Raw genomic sequence first — 17627 nt, 5'->3', positions numbered from 1 at the left:
CAATTTTCCTTTATGATAGCTCTCTCTAAGCCCTAGTGCTGAGGCCTAGCAGGGTTTGGGGATCATTAATTCGTCCTGGTATAAAACTGAATAGCTGTTGGATTTTCTGTAGCAGTATTCAGCATACCAGGTATAGGAGCATGGTTCAATTCATTTAATATTGTGTATATTAGGAGTGGGGATTGTGGGAGCTAGAAAATTCAAGGAAGACAGAAGTGATTTTTGGCTGGAATGGTTAAGGAAGGTCTAAGGAGGTGAGGGATTTTTATTCAGATCTTGAAATGCAGGCAGGAGTAAGTAGACTTACTGGGAGGGGAAGTTAGCAGTGGAAGGAATACTGAGTAAAAGAATGGCAAAGGATACAGGATCAGATGTGGGAACAGATGAGGCATATGGGAGATCTAATAAACCAGTCTGGCTAACATAAAGCCATAATGGAGGGGGTGTTGAAAGGGTACATCTGATAAAGTTTGGATAAAGTACAAATTCCTTAGCCTTGAATTCCAAGTCATATCTTCCAAGCAATGAGGATCTGTTGAAGGTTATTGTGTAGGAGAGTGATTAAGATTAATGTGGTGGCAATTTGCTATAAGGATGAGAAGAAAATTGACTCCAGGCAGGAAAACTGGGTTAGGAGGCTGGCAAAGGAATCTAACATTCAGGGAGCAATAAGAGAGGAAAGGAAGGGACTGAGAAGCAATAGACAGAATGTATTCCCTCCTCTGTGCTCCTGGCTCTTTTCACACTATAGAACTTTCACTCTCAATCATGAATATTCACATAAATGTTTATCTCTCCCCAATTGTTTCTTCCTGCTTCCATTTCCTCCCCATTTTTATCTCTGTCTCTCCCACACTGTTTCTTTTTCTTTATTTCTGTGTTAATTATTTAATTCATCAAATATTTATTATTTACATAATGGACATTGTACAAGACACTAAAGGTTCAGAGAAGGGAATTCAGTTCTCCTTGGAAAACCAAAGAGGGGCTCAACCACAAACCAAGTAGAAGTTTCTGCCAGAATTTAGGGGTGCATAGAGGCCTTTCATCTATATTCATGCATCGCCTGAACCCAACCTAGAAAAATGACAAGGAAGTCATCAGGGGAGCAGGTAGAGGAGGATGCAGAGGTGCAGCAGGGAACTGCTGGTCATTTGGCGAACTATGTCACAGGACCTGTGTGCAGGAGTGATGAACCATGATTGGAGAAGTTAGCAGGGCCTTGTGTATCATGCTGAAGAACTAAGGTTTATTCCAAATGTGTTGGAGGTTCTTCCAGAATTTTACATAGAAGAATAATATCAGATATTTTTAGAGTCAGCAAAACTGAGGATTTATACTCTCAGGCTCTGGAGTCAGATTGAGAACAGAGTGTTACTCAGGGTTAGCCACTTGGTGGCCGTGTGACCTTGGACAAATTACCTAGCCTTTCAGCCTCAGTTTCTTCTCTAAAATACTTTTTTTAAAAAAAAATACTACCTTCTTTGTAGGCATTGTTTTTTATTTGGTGAGAATTAAATGATATGTTATTTGTAACATTCTCTTATTTTTACCTGATATTGACAAATTATTATTGTATATTTTATGGGGTACAAAGTAATGCTGTGATACATGTATACAGTGTAGAATTATTGACTCAAGCTAATTAACATATCCACAGTCTCGAATGGAATACTTATCATTTATTCCTCCTGTCTAACTGAAACATTGTACCCTTCAACCAACATCTCCCCATTCCCCTGATTCCCCAGCTTCCGGTAACCACCATTCTGCTCTCTGCTTCTATGTGTTGGATTTTTTTTTTTTTTAGCTTCCACATATAAGTCAGAACATGCAGTATTTGCCTCCATGTCTGGTTTATTTCATTAGCATAAAGTCCTTCAGGTTCATTCATGTTGTCACAAATGACAAGATTCCCTGCTTCTTTGAGGCTGAATAGGTTTCTAATGTGTATATATACCATATTTTCTTGTCCATTCATCAATTGATGAACACTCAGATTGATTCCATAACTTGACTGTTTTGAATAGTGCTGCAATAAACATAGGAGTTCAATATCTCTCAGACTTCCTGATTTCAAATCTTTTGGATACATACCCTGGAGTAGAATTCCTGGATGTTATTTCTAACATTCTTAGTACAGTGCCTGGCACATAGAAAGCTTTCCAAACAGATAGCTACTCTTACTAGTAATGACTAGGAATGACTTATCACCTCAGTCATTGTTACTATTATAAAAACTACTCTATAAACTATTATGAACACCACTCATCTTGGTGTGCAAGATGAGCCAGAGATGGGAATAAGCTGGAGGAAGGGAGATCAGTTAGGAGGCCTCTGGAATAATCTAGGAAAGAATATTCTGTTTTCTGTCTGGTGCCCAGCTGTCGCTCAGAAGGAGCTTTAAAAAAAGTTTGTGGAATAAATGAAAAGGAAGACTGAGCAGAATTCAGTGATTGATTAGCTCAAAGAAACCAGGGAGCAAACGAAAGATAACTGCAAGACTTGGAGATTGAGTGACTGGAGAATTCTGGTACTATGGACACAAAGAAACCTTCTCTCTTTCCACCCCTCAGCTCTGCGTTCTCAGGCCATTGCTCACCTGACATCTTTGGATGGTTGGCCGCTTTTTGAATTTCACTCACTTGCTCAATGACTGTGGTGTGCAGGTCTGCTGCTTTGTCTTTTTCCAGAATGCCTTGTCATAACTATAGTAAAGGTATATCTGAATTTAGAACCCCGACAATTCAAAAATCTAAAACCCCACTTACAAATTGGGTTTGAATACATCTCTCAGGTTGCTTCCAAATCTTTCTTTCTTTTCTTTTCTTTTTTTTTTTTTCATTTTTAGATCATGTAGATGTCTCAGGGAAGACTTCAGCATCTGTGCCTCTGTTGGGGCATTAATAGAATCCTATGCTTTTACATCCATTATTGTATTTGGAACAAAATATCCTTTATGGTCATTTGGTATTATATATTTTCTGTTTTGTATATAATATGAAATTACATATACAGTCTATTTTAGGTCTCATATCATTATAAAACAAAACAACAACAGCAACAACAAAAATTTGGCTCAGCTTTTGGCTTTTATACTTCTGTCAACTTGTTATTTGTACTCTGACTCCAAAGACAATTGGAGAAACTTGGGAGCATAACACAAGATTTTATTTTAACCAATTGATCTGTCCACTGCTATGGACTGATTTTTGCACAAAGTAATAGCAGGTTGGGCTGATGCCATGGTTCTCTGATTTTCTTTTTCTTTTCTTTTCTTTTCTTTCTTTCTTTCTTTCCTTCTTTCTTTCTTTTCTTTCTTTTTCTTTCTTTTCTTTCTTCTTTCTTTCTTTCTTCCTTTCTTTCTTCCTTTTTCTTGAGTTTGATTATTCTGATTACTAAATGCCTTGCAATTTGAAAAAGAACAGAAGTTATGAGCTTGTACTAGGAATAGGTTAGCCAGGTTCAAGGGTCTCACAACATTTAGAAAGATTGTTTTTAAGAAAGAAATAAAAAAAAAGTCTTATAGAGAGATCAGTGACACTTCATAAACAAGTTTGCAATGCTGTCTACTAGTATAAATGACCGTACGTTGATCTGCCAGACTCATTGCCCGGCTGTTTTTGCCAGGGCACATATTTGTGAGACAGCTGCTCCGAACTAGGGAAGGTCAAGCAAAAACCACTGCCTGTCTAGAGATGGCTGTCCTGATGTCAGTCTCATTAGTTCCTGAGTTCTTGCCAAGTTAGTAAGAACTAGCATAGATCTGGAGGTCAAAGTTTAGCAGAAAGAGCCCCCACAGCAGTGTGCAAAGAGCTCTTTTTCTGTTCTACTCTTTTTTTCTCTACTGGTCACCTAGTTGGTGTGTAGCGTGTGTGTGTGTGTGTGTGTGTGTGTGTGTGTGTTTCCCAAATAGTACTTGAAGGATAGGAAATTAAATGTCTGTGGGAAAAAGCAACATTTTGGGTTCTCAGCATTTTAGTCAGCTGCTTTCTTACTTTTCCAGACTGTGACTATTCTTTGAAGCTATTAAAATCTATTCTTGGTAATGAGAAAAGGGAGTGACTTGATGGTTCTTTTCCAATTGCTCTGTGTCTGACAAGAAATACCTAAATACTTTAATTTGCCTTTTTAAATTTCCCCTAGTGGTGGCAAAACAATTCTACTCCTATTTGTCAGGGAAAAAAATCTCTGCCGTGAATTTCAGTGCTGGGAACATAACAAGACAAAAAGCTACCTGGGCTAGCCTGTTTCTCCAGGATGAAACAAAAGGAATATAGATTTTAGCGGCTGCTTTAACAGTTTGGTAAAGGATCTGGTCTATCTTGGGTGTGGGAGATGGGAGGGGTAAAGAGGTCAGAATACCATTTAGATCACAGACAGAAAGAAACCAGGAAGTAAGGGGAAATTATTACAGTCTGTTCATAGCTCAGAATGTTAAAGGCAACAGCCTCTGCTGGTTGGTTATTCATTAGCAAAAAGGAGAGAGCCGTCCAGATCCGGACTGGTCGAAAGACAGGAACAGACTTGAAACAGGGGGAGAGCTCCTGGCGAAAGCAAGACGTGGAGGTTTTACCAGGGGTTAGTAGCTTCCTCTTGCTAACTTTTTATTGGGACAAAAGGCAAGATGGCACCATTCTGTTCTCAGATATTTGTCTAAATAAAGCCCTTTTAATTTTATTTTATTTTTGTTGTGGGATTCTTAAGCAGATAAGAAGAAAAGACACCTTCCTAGTGAGCAGCTGCCCAGCTCCTGCTCAGTTTTGCCTCGGGGTAGCACCTCCAGCCACAGAAAGCAAGCCGGTAAGTCTCTCCAGGTAGGACTTGCTGCAACCCAGCTGCTGGACTGATCTGAAACGGGACTTTGCATACTCTCCGAAGTATGGTGAGTTGGTGCTGACTTCAAAGTTGCCTGGTGAAGGAAGATAAGGTGGATCGCAGAGACTAAGGGGAGAGGGAGAAGCCCTGCTCCTCTTCTCCCCACCAAGGCACAATGAGCAACATCTGTCAGAGGCTCTGGGAGTACCTAGAACCCTATCTCCCCTGTTTGTCCACGGAGGCAGACAAGTCAACCGTGATTGAAAATCCAGGGGCCCTTTGCTCTCCCCAGTCACAGAGGCATGGCCACTACTTTGTGGCTTTGTTTGATTACCAGGCTCGGACTGCTGAGGACTTGAGCTTCCGAGCAGGTGACAAACTTCAAGTTCTGGACACTTTGCATGAGGGCTGGTGGTTTGCCAGACACTTGGAGAAAAGACGAGATGGCTCCAGTCAGCAACTACAAGGCTATATTCCTTCTAACTACGTGGCTGAGGACAGAAGCCTACAGGCAGAGCCGTGAGTAGTACAAACTTATACTTAATTTCTGAACTCTCTGAGGGCTGGGTAATGAGTTTTCCTTTCTACTTCTCTACAACCCCCTAATGTCCAAAGAGTTGCCTAAAAAGTATGAGGAAGTACTGGCAAGAAACCACTAATTGAAACACACCTCCCCCGCTAAGTGAGTGTGAAACTGGCCAGTAATTGTTGTTGAGATGACTTCAATTACAGTATGTACATCCACAGGTCCAGGGTGTATTTTCAAAATAAACAAATGATGTGTTTAATACTGTACCTTCTCTTTGGCTGTAAAATAACTCATGCCTCACTTTAGCAATAAAATTGCATTTTGTTTGAAGGTAAATTATAAGACTTCCCTTAATGATATTCTCAAATCTAAACTTCAGATTCTTTTTTTTAAAAAAAACTTTTGAAACATTCCAGGGTAATATATCAACTCTAGCCCTAGCTCTAATCCTAATCCCTTTCATTCTGATGGGAATATACAGGGCTAATGTAGAAGACAACACTTAGAAGATACTAATGTTCTCAGTGACATCATGATATAGATTTTTTTTTAATTCCCAGATCCTGAGATATGCTACCCAAATTATGATATCTTTTGGTTTTTATTATGATTAGAAACTGGCCAGCTACAGACATTTGGTAAATTTTGATAGGAAAAAGGACAACATCTCCTTGAAGAGGAGATAAAGACTTTATCCTGGTATTTGAATGAAATATGAATTATATTGCAACAAAAGAGGAAAGTTTTTATGTACTTATTCACCCATCCATCCATCCATCCATCCATCCACCTACCACCCCTCCAAGTGCCAGGCATAGACAGTAGTGGGCCTGGTGAGTTGGGGAGGGTAAAGGAGATTATTCTAGTAGTGACTGAATACAAAGTGGATAAAACATAGTCTTGACAATGGATACTTGGGGTCTGGTGGGTTGGGAAGCAAATGGAGACTGTCATTGGCCCTGATCTCATTGCTTCCTGAATCCAGTGAAACCTTAGACTGGGAATGTCTTTCAAAAAATGTACTCATTTTTTTTTTTTTTTTTTTTTGAGACGGAGTCTCGCTCTGTCCCCCAGGCTGGAGTGCAGTGGCGCGATCTCGGCTCACTGCAAGCTCCGCCTCCCGGGTTCACGCCATTCTCCTGCCTCAGCCTTCCAAGTAGCTGGGACTACAGGCGCCTGCCACCACGCCCGGCTAATTTTTTTGTATTTTTAGTAGAGACGGGGTTTCACCGTGTTAGCCGGGATGGTCTCGATCTCCTGACCTCGTGATCCGCCCGCCTCGGCCTCCCAAAGTGCTGGGATTACAGGCGTGAGCCACCGCGCCCGGCCAAAATGGACTCATTTTATAGAATGGTTTCTTAATAGGGAAACCATTGGAGATTCTCTTATGTTCTCATGTAAGTGTTTCTTATTTTTATGTGAGCGTCCCTTACTGGTCCAGGGAATAAGATAATAATAAATAGCCATAGAGCATTGTTTCTGCTTTCCAAACTCATACATCACATATGAAGGGAGGTTTGACGAGTTTTGAGTTTTGAGATTCTTTTCAACACCAAGAACCTATAAATGTTTAGAAGGGTCTTAATTTATGCTTAAATAGAAATGAATTGAAATATACTTTTAATGAATGGAATTGATCAGTTATCAAGTGGGAAAATCACCTGTGTGAACATTTGCTTTCTGTGATAATCTACAGGAAATATCTTTATATATTGGATACACTTATGTGCATTTATCTGTTTTCACTACTTTATGATTTCTATGTCCTGTATGGCATTATGCATATTTTATATTTGGCATAACATGTATATTATAATAATAATATATTAATGTTTCATGCCTTGAATTCATAATCTGTTAGTTTTAAATATATTCAACTCATATAACTACTTAGGACCTCAATTTCCTCATCTGCAACTCTCTGGGGTTGCCATGACCAATGGATTTCCTGACTATCTGGGAACAGGAGCTCTTATGTTCGTATGTAGTGGTTCAGTTACATTCATGCTTGACTGTATTAGAAATGCTGAAGAAAGCAAATTAACTGAAACAAGTCAAGCAATCCGAAGGTATCATATTCTGGGTAAAAGGCTTGAGAGCAGTGTTCTTATTAATTTAGATTTTCTTTGCCTACAAACACAAAATAAGGCAACTAAATTATTATGGCTATTTTTGATTCTCAGAGTCATTTGTAGCCAATAATATTTTTTCCCTCTGCACATTACCTTGACCTTTCTTCTTGGAATTGGTTCTCAGCAGCATTCCTACCTGTCAGTACCATTCTAGATCTCTGTAGTTAGCTTTCCTTGGGATCTTCACATCCACTGGAATAAAAACCATGATGCCCAGAAAATGCTGCCACTCTGCCTCCTGGCTGGAACAGGCTACTTGTTTTCTTTTAAGTGCACACCATGGTCTTCACCTGTGAACCTGGCTTACTTCTGAAGTTTCTTGTCACCGTAAGGCAAAATTGCTTCAATACTCTTAGTGCAAGTAGCTGTAGCTTCTAGAATTCCCCTCCATCTCAAATAGAAGCGATTTTTACTGAACAGCCTTCTGCGTGAGTGTGTCCAAGTGGCTCACACAGTACTTTAACACTTGAAGAATTATATAAAAACAACTTATTTTAATATTTTTTCTTCAGTGAGTTTTTTCAAAAGTCTATTTTTTTCTCCTGAATGCTGTGAAAATTAACGTAATTTTTTAAAATCATGAGCTCAGTAAGTTGACTTAAGGAAAGATTATTGTTTATATCCACATGTATGGGATGAGTAGGCAATGGGAAACCAATGAAAGCTGTCATCTAATTCCTAATTAGACCAGTTTAATGCAACGTATGTTAGTATTTGTGTTTTTATGTCTTTACTTTTGATGTGCATCTGTAAGAAGAAACTGCAAATACTTCTGGAGTTATTGGTGCCAGGGAAAATTAGTTTAAGGCTTTAGTTTGCAGTTTGTTTGTTTTCTTTTATACTTGGAAGTAGAGATGTTGAAAAACAAACTATTGTTTAAAAAGCCCAATTTACTAATTCTTATCCCACTTAGAAATGCTTTTCACCTTTACTGAATATCTTCCACTAAGTGATATAATAAACCAATTCTTGAAGATTTATTTTGTCTTTATGAAGAATCATTAGATTTATCTTATCTTCGACTTGAATTTATTCCTAGCTCATTTTAGAGATGAGTCTTTTTCTTCAACATCTTCAATGTGAAATCCCTCGAAAACCTTGCCCTTAGGGTCTTATTAATCAGAACTTTCTTTAATATTTTATTTATGGTGTTTTTAAAGATATAAAGTTCACATAAAAATAATGATGTGGAAATAACATATAAATATTAGAACCAAAAGTAATGGCTTTAAATTTCATTGCTTTAATTGTAAAAAATTCAAGTATTGCAAAATATTGATAAAAAGCAATATGATCAGCAATAATATTAGACGTAGCATCATTTATCTGCAAAGAGTTTAAAAAGTTTTTTTGCTTAGGGAGGATCACCTGTGTCCAGGAGTTCAAGAACAGGCTGAGCAACATAGTGAGACCCAGTCTCTACAAAAAAATTAAAAAATTTGCTAGGCATGGTGGCACAAACCTGTAGTCCCAGCTACTCGAGAGAGTGAGGCTGGGGCAGGAAGACTGCTTAAACCTGGGAGGTTGAGGCTGCAGCAAGCTATGGTTGTGCCACTGCACTCCAGGCTGGGTGACAGAGCCAGACCCTATCTCGAATCCCCACCAACCAAAAAAAAAAAAAAAAACCAAATGAACAATTTTTTGCTTAATTGTTAAAGTGTACCTTAGGTGTTGTCTAACATACTTTTGTGTTAAATTGAACTAGGGTCAGAGATGAGATCAGTTTAATCTCCCAGAAAGGGGATTGGTAGGAGGGGAATGGGGTGGACATAATCACATAAGCCAGCCACTGATGATTTCTGCTTCGCCAACTTGACCACGCAAGCCAAGGGCAGCAGTTGAGATAGCTGATTTGACTCCCCTTTGCATGTTAAGTTTAAGTTATGATAACAACAATGAAATGTGCTGCTGAACTTCTGACTCCATACACTTCTCAAAGACATAAATGAAGATTCTATTAAGAAAATTAGATCACTACAATCATCTCTAAAGTTTATTGTTTATTAAGCTCCACATTTTTCTAGGTCATATTCTTGTGTATCTTCTTACTTGTGAATCAGTAATTTTGTCTTAAGTCCATTCTATAGGCCTGGTATGGTGCTAAGTGAATGACTCAGCAAAGGCAGAGGAATTAGTATTTGCTTTGTTATATATATATAATTTGGCTTTATGTTAAGAAATATTTCCACACTTATGTGTGAAACAATAAAGGCCATAAAGTTTATTTCTGTCTCCTAAATTTGAGCATGGCATACCTTTGTGGGTAGGAGGGCTAGAGGAGCCACCCATACTGACCTACGATGGTGTCTTTGTATCTCTTGTTAGCACTTTAGCAGGGGAAGAAGCAAAGTACTGGATTTTGTAGAAAGTTTTTCTTCTCCTCTTATTACTGTGAAAGGTAGATAATTTCCAATTCCTCATCTATTCATCATTTCAGTGGCTTCCTTGAAAAAGAAAGCAAGAATAAATATTTGTAACTTGTAGTTTTGTTGGTAGTTTATGATTATGGTATAAAAATGTTAGAATGTTCTGAAGTATAAAAGTAATGGGATTTTTCTCCATGTATTTAGGCCATATTTTCCTGCTTGTGCTGCTCTTTAGTGTGTCAGACTAGAGTTCTTTGAAGATTTTATCTAACCTATGATGATTGCCATTGTCGAGCTTGAAAGCAGCATGGTGAAACAAAGTGGTATATTCTTGGAAAGATTCTTATATCACCTATATCACCGTTTTAAAATAGAGTGAGGCTTTGCTATTTTGTCATTTGAATGCTGTGGAATTTAATAATTATTGAATACAAATTGTACATAGTGTGCCTAATCATTTTCAACTTAAATGTCAGCAGATTTTTTTCTTAGCTGGGATATGAGACCAGCTTTTGCATCTTAATTATAGGTATAGAAACAATGTGGTTTAAAAATTAACATTACCCTTAATACATTTTAAAAGTCATCAGAATATTCATAATCCACTCTGACATAATAGATGTTATCTACTTTGAGAAGTTTGAATTATTAAAAGTCACCAGTGTGCGATCAGTTCCACAATTGTTCTTTATCTAGATCATTTATTTTGTTCCCTTTGTGTAAGTTGTCAGGGAAGACTAAATGCCCATGTGTCAAAATGAAAATAATACCTAGTAATAAATGCCTGAAAATAATGCCTGGCATTTCTGGGTTCTCTCCTCTAAGACAAAGTATACTTACTATAATTTTAGAAATGAAATAAAAAGGTATTTATATATATAAATAACACTATATTTATAAAATATAGTATTATACTATATTATACTATATAATATATAATATATAGTATAATATTATAATAGTATAATATACTATTATATATTATATATATTATATTATATATAATATAGTATAAATAATATATAATATACTATATAAATAATACTATATTTATAAAAAATACACTATAAATATACATATGGTTGTTTATCAAGTGTTTTGGATTAATCAAGATAAAAATTTTAGCACAAATCATTTAAGTCAACCAAAAGCATATTTAAATGCCATGAGATTAATTAGCGTTACTGTCCCCATCCTTTATTTTTCACCATATGTTATTTATGATGATGTAAAATAAGAATATGACAAATACGTTTTTAAAATAATTTATCAAAAAATTTCATCTCAGGTATAATATTATTTGACTTCATGTTAATATAATTGTACTGTTTATGTTAATATAACTAACTCAATTTGTTATATAATAAATTTTTACATAAATTGCCACTATTTTTAAGAAAAATAATTAACTACTAAATTAGAATATATTTCATAAAAATAATAGCAAAATCATAGATGTGAAGAAAAGAGCAACCAATTCAACTATGTTAAAATCCCAGTTGAAGTTTAATTAATACCTGTGTCAAGTAATTAATAGCAGTAAAGCTTGATTACATGCATCTCAAAGTACCTTTGAGAACCAGTGAAGTGACATAGTATGGCATCATTAAAATGAGTTAGGAGTCTTTTCTAGGAAAAGTAGCAACATTGATAATACTTTAAAATTTCCAATTGCAATATGTCATTCAGAATCACTCTTTAGTAAAAGTATTGATTATTTTTGCTTTTCAGGTTTTCTACAAATTACTAACAATGGGAAAAATCTTATGTGAGTGAAATAAATCATTAACTACTGAGCTCCAGTCTTAAAGATTAGAACCCAAATTTTAACTTGATCAAATTTATTCTTTGAAAAGAAAATGTTCTATTGGATTCAAATTGGTTTACTTTTGTTCAAATGAATTAATTTAATTCCATGGTTTGTCTCTGCAGATACATCCTAGTGTTGCTTTTTGATGAATAGAAGTCAAGAATCTCACCAAACTGAGATTGTCAAAGTAGACACAACCTTCTATACAGTAAAGCAGGACTAAATTCTTTTAGCAGCTACTATATGCTGTGCACTTTCATTGTTCTTGAGGTTACCAAAAGAGGAAAAACCAACAAAACTTTGCCTCAATTAATTCTTGTTGCAGCTCAGAAAATTCCCTTCAGATTTTCTAACTACCAATACAATAGTGAGAACCTATATGGGCAATATAAATAAGAGCAGCCTTTGGGTTCTTCTGGTGAATGTTTCAACTAGATCCAAACATTAGTGTATGGAGTTTTACTGAAATATAATGCTGGTTACCCTTTTTGACCTAGCCTATGGTATGCCTAAGAACATAAAATATAGGCTCAGATGATCTAGATTTGAATTTGACTCTGTAATGTCTTAGCTGTGTGAGCCTGAGCAAATTACTTGACCCCTCTGCCTCAGTTTCTCATCTGTTAAATAGGAATCACAGTGACACCTATCTTATAGGATCATTATGTGACATAAATGAGACTGTGCAGAAAGGGTGCACTGCAGAGAACCTGACACATAGTAAGGTTTAATAAATATTATGTTTCATTTAGTTGGCAGCTCCTCTTTTACTTCTGTCTAAATGGATCATACTTTACACCCCCACTCTAGTCTGAGCTCACAATATTCTTTCCCTGTAACAGGTGTCCTGGACATTGAGTGTCTTTCAGTCTTCGACCGTCTGCACTCTCCCTCACCTGCAGCCTTGGTCTTCAGATGGGCTATTCTCTCTGCCTATAACCCTCTCCTTCCTCTTTTTTTCCTGACCAGCTTAACTTATCCTTCAAGTCTCACCCTATTTGTTCCTCCTTCCCCAAGCCTTTCCTGACATACTAGACTACATGAGGTGTTCCTGCCTAGAGTTGTTAGCACCCTTTGTCTTTACTGCTAATTTATTTTCTGCAGTGCTGTAAACTATGGATGTGGGTAGTGGAAAGGTGAGCCATTGCTCCTCCCAGAGCTTAGTATGATACCTGTGAATAATAAGCACTGATTGGGTAGATGAATAACTAAATGAATGATTGCTTATCTACAAATCTCAGGTCTTTTAAAGAGCAGCCCACAGAGACACCTCTTCTTTAATTGTTCCTCTCTGAATTGCATTTTTACCTACCAGAAAATTCTACATTAAAGGCATAAGCTATTTTTTATTCATTTCTCAATGAAATTGCTCATGCCTTAATATTTGGTTAGACTCACAGTCATAAAAGCATAATTCCCAGGTTCTCAGAAATTAGTTGCTCTAATCCACCTCTGGGGAGAAAATACTTAAGAGTCGTAGACCAATTCAAATATTCTTTGTAATGTAGACTGAATATCAAGTCAGGAACAGACTGTAAATCTCATTGAAATGGCGTCTAAAAATCACATATACACATATTAAACCATACTATGGTTATATTTAAAGTAGAGGATTTACTGGCCAGAGCTTTTAAATGGAGAGCAAATCTAGATCCAATTTACAAAATTAATGTTGTGGGGCCAGACTTGTAATTTCAGTTTTTATGCTCAATATACATAATTTCTAATTATTATGTGTATGAAATATTTTTCAGCTTACATAAGCTGAAAGTCTGACTCTTCACTGAATATTAATAGATTTTTACTGTACATTCTAACATTACCAAAAAATAATTTTATCTTCTTTTTACTAGTTTTCTCACTAATTAACTACTAATTTCTCTGCAGCATTCTCTGACTCCCATTTTAAATATGGGTTCTTAGCTCTTCTTAGCATTGAAAGGATTGAGCCAGTTTCCCTAGGGAAGGTAGTTATATAGATTAATAGCAGTTTTAACGATATTGCAGGGTTCCTTACAGATATTTTCCTAAAGCCTGCAACTTTAGTATTAGTTTATATGGCTGTTCCCTTGAAGATTAATGTAACAGAAGAAATTTGCTAAAATGCATAGATGCAAATGTAGATCATATACTCTGGATCACTTACTTTATTGCTTATTTGGATAAATTCAGATACTGTCATAGACTGTCCCTTGTGTAATATCTTTCTGTCATGATGCAATTTTTTTCTACAAAGTTTTTTAGTTGAATATTTTTCTATTTACCAATTGAGTCGATTGAATGTCAGATTCTTTAATGTTTTTATTAACGTATTTTTAATATTCAGATGGTGCATTTTATAGTGCCTTTAAATTCAGACTAAATTCTCAATCAAATACTTTTTTCATGATTTCCGTGCCTTTTTATGGGTAAAATAAAAATGCAATTCAGTAAATTAATAGGAACGTTTGAACTTTATACTAGGTATCTTACTTGAAAGACATTTAGAATACTATTTCTTAGTAAATATTCCTGTTAACACAAATGTTGTATACCACATTGGCAGCATGATTTGGAAGATTCAGAAGATCCCACTTTAAGGTTCCTCTGAAAGGCCAGTATTGTTGATAGCTATAAGGTAATTGTAATGCTATTTTGATCTCACATATATCTTTTTACCATTTCTGAATAATAATTAATTCTGACATACGAAGACACCACCCTGCAACTTCCAGCATTGTACTGCCTGCAAAGTCACTGCTAGAGAATAATTTCTGGATACTCCTAGTTGCACTTTTGAGAAGCAGGATTCAGGACACTTTCTCCAATGTCTTTTCACCATTTCTGGTCATTGAAGAAAATAGTTTCTATGAGATTCAGTTATCCATTCAACAAACTTTTTGTATGTATTTGCTCTATTAAAGACACTGTTTTTGTGTAGTGGGAGATATGAAAATTAATAAGACAATACTCTTCTCCAGAGAATTTTACAGTTTCAGGAGGTAAGATTAGTAAACCAAGAATGTTGTGACAATGCCCTTTGTCAAAAGCACATCAGGAACACATCTGTAGTGTTTTATTATTCATTGCAGGGAAGGAGAACACACATGGTGAAGAGTAGAGCGCTTCAGTAAGAGGGTGTTAGACAGGGCCCACTATTAGATCTAGGGATGTGACTTTGGGGAGATTTTAAGGAAGCAGGCGTTGCTCTGTTTTGGATATTGTTAAGAAATGGGAATAACTGTGTAATTAGGTATTTAATAAATCTTATTGAGAAAGATGGAAGATTAGTTTGGGAATAAAGCTAGAATTGGTTAAGAAACATCAGTCACTCAGGTTAGCCAAGATAAGTAGATGTTTGGTCATTTTTTAGGATGGACAATATCCATGTTTTTGTGGGTGTTGAGACTTGATTATGGAATGATCTGATCTTGTTTTTGTCTTGATCCATCATAGTCACAGTGTAGCCTCGTCTGAAGTTGATGTTTTGTGAGATTATTTATGTTCAACAGAAGACAGCAAGGTCTAGCCGTTAAGTGCCAGTCCAGGTCCAGGATATCAAGAGTTAATTTTCATTTCCTCAGTTAGCATAGACAGATGCTGATAAATGCCATAAGCGTGTCAAAAACTGTCTGCCATGTAGTGTGCATGTAAAAAACAATGTTCAACTCATGAATGAAGACACAAATAGTTGGAAGAATGAGTGCAGAGATAGAAGAGATCAGTCCTGATTTGGGGGAAATCATACCTTCCTTTCAGGGTTCAGCTCATATGACCCTTTTCCTAAAAGTTTTCTAACCTTCATAGAAAGAATTCTTAATTTATTTTGTTTTCCCATGATTTTGTATTTATTGTTAGTAGAGCAATGGTCAGGGATAACTGACATTTACTGAGAGCATACCATTATGTCACTTACCATACAAATAACTTAACTTGCATTGTCTTATATTATTATCCTATGAGACAGATGCTTTTATTACCCCCATTTGCAGATGAGGAGACTGAAGCTGAAAGAGTTTAAGTAAACTGCTTACGTCCACACAACTAGTAAATGATGGAAGTGAGATTTATCTGCCTCCAGCTTGCTCTCAGAGCCTGTACTTTTATCATATAACAGCTAGCTATAAAACTTTTGTCTTATGAGGCTGTAAAGTCTTTGATTGCCTGGAAAACTATGCAAGACTCTTTGTGCCCCAGAGAATTTATAATCTCAGAAAGTGAGACTATCTATTTTCTCCTGAGATTGTAAATTTCCTGGAGCAGAAAGACTGTCTTATTTAGTTTTACTCAATGCTTACCAAGCTGAATTTCTAAAAGCCTAGAGAGATGAACAATTCAGTACAATTCCTTGAATAATATACAGGAGGGAAAGTAAAAGTGTATTCGGGGAATGGCAAGTTGTAGAGTTTAGCTGAAGCATTCATGGAGAAGAGCAATGGGAAACAAATCTGGAAAAATAGCCAGGAACAAGTTTTGGAAAAGAGCATGTATGATAGTTTAAAGAGTGGGTTTTATCTAATGGGAAATAGAAATAGATAGAAGGCAGGGCTTTGAAAAGACTACGAGGAGGTAGGAATGGATTAGAGAAGAGATAAGCTAGTTATAGAGAAGTATAGTGAAATTATATTTCAAAGGTCCATGGCTTGAGGTTATAAGGGCTTAATTTTAATTTGTGGTACTGTTAAAAAAAAAAAAGAAGTGCAGGGATGTGAACAATCCCAAGAATAAGGATCAAGAAGACTTAAGGGGAAGGAAAATAACATTTTTGAATACATTCAATGCGCTAAGCATACAAAACTAATTTAATCCTTCTAATAGCTCTGCAAGGCAAATTTTCTTATCACTATTTTTAGGGTAAGGAAATTAATGGTAAAATTTAAGTAAATTCATATATTCTTATTTGGTAAATGGTAGAAGTAAAACTACAAATTAGATGTAGAAGAGGAGAGGAGAAAGAGACTGACACAAAAAATATGTAATTTGGGGGCTCAGCATGGTGGCTCATGCCTGTGATCCCAGTACTTTTGGAGGTTGAGGTGGGAAGATCACTTGAGCCCAGGAGTTTGAGACCAGCCTGGGCAACATGGCGAGACTCCATCTCTAAAAAAAAATACAAAAATTACCTGGGCCTGGTGGCACTTGCCTGTAATCCCAGCTACTCAGGAGGCTGAGGTGGGAGGATTGCTTTAGCTGGGAGGTCAAGGTTACCGTGAGCTGGCATCTCACCACTGCACTACAGCCTAGGTGAAAGGGCAAGACCCTGTCTCAAAACAACAAAAAATGTAACTTGGGACCAGGTGAAACATTAAGATAAATACATGTGTCATATGGTAATTTTTATTGAAGCAGACAAGGAAGGAATGGTTGAAACAGAGAGGAAGATAATACATTCAATTTTAGTTCATGTCGAAATTGAAGCCCCAGTAGAACATCTCAGTGAAAATGTCCAAAGGAAATTTAGAAACACAAAAGTCAAGGCAAAGAGCCAACTCTATTCTGTAAAAATGGATTTTGAAGCATTCACACCAAGGTATTATAGATGTCACAGTAATATAAGAACTGCAGAATATTTTAAACTTCACAAGGATTCTAAGAATCAAACAATGAGAGTCTAACAGGAGCAATGAGGCAAAGATCAAGTCTTTAGATTTAAATAGCTGTAGTTTAGGTGAATAAGTGGTGTGTAAGTTGTAGTAACTGTCCCATCTTTTTGTGCTTCCTTGCATCTGCATTCTTGGGGTAGTCTCCTCCCACACTCATTCTTGGCTTTGCCAAATCACGGGCTTTGGCCAATGGGACAGTTGCAAATGTGACAAAAGTGGAGACTTAAAAAGCACTTGCACATTGGAGTTTTCTTTCTTAGTTCTCTTGGAGTCCTGCAACTGCCATAAAAATCCTAAGCTAACCTCCAGGAGGAAGTGAGACTATGTGAAGAGATGTCCTACTGGCCCAGCTGACTCATCAGCTGACTGAGCAAGCCCAGCTAAGATCAG

At 36.5% G+C, this 17627-nt stretch overlaps 1 protein-coding gene across 9 annotated transcripts in view; it reads left to right on the top strand.

Moving 5' to 3' along the window:
• The window catches only part of FRK (fyn related Src family tyrosine kinase), a 169577-nt gene that overhangs the window by 35421 nt on the left and 116529 nt on the right, over positions 1 to 17627 (top strand). For 2 of the 9 annotated variants that reach the window (XM_011535655.3, XM_047418554.1), the window contains exon 2: positions 4711 to 5337. The exons of 1 other annotated variant lie outside the window; for it this stretch is intronic. In XM_011535655.3, the coding sequence (XP_011533957.1) occupies positions 4994 to 5337 (344 nt within the window). In that variant the 5' untranslated portion in view covers positions 4711 to 4993. Of the gene's footprint in view, positions 1 to 3963; positions 4307 to 4413; positions 5338 to 17627 lie in introns of those variants that run through there. 6 more of the 9 variants (XM_011535654.3, XM_047418555.1, XM_017010645.2 and 3 more) reach the window with 5 other exon arrangements.

Source organism: Homo sapiens, chromosome 6 (assembly GCF_000001405.40).
Source record: "Homo sapiens chromosome 6, GRCh38.p14 Primary Assembly".
Lineage (NCBI taxonomy): Eukaryota > Metazoa > Chordata > Mammalia > Primates > Hominidae > Homo > Homo sapiens.
This window is presented reverse-complemented; position numbering and strand designations above follow the sequence as displayed.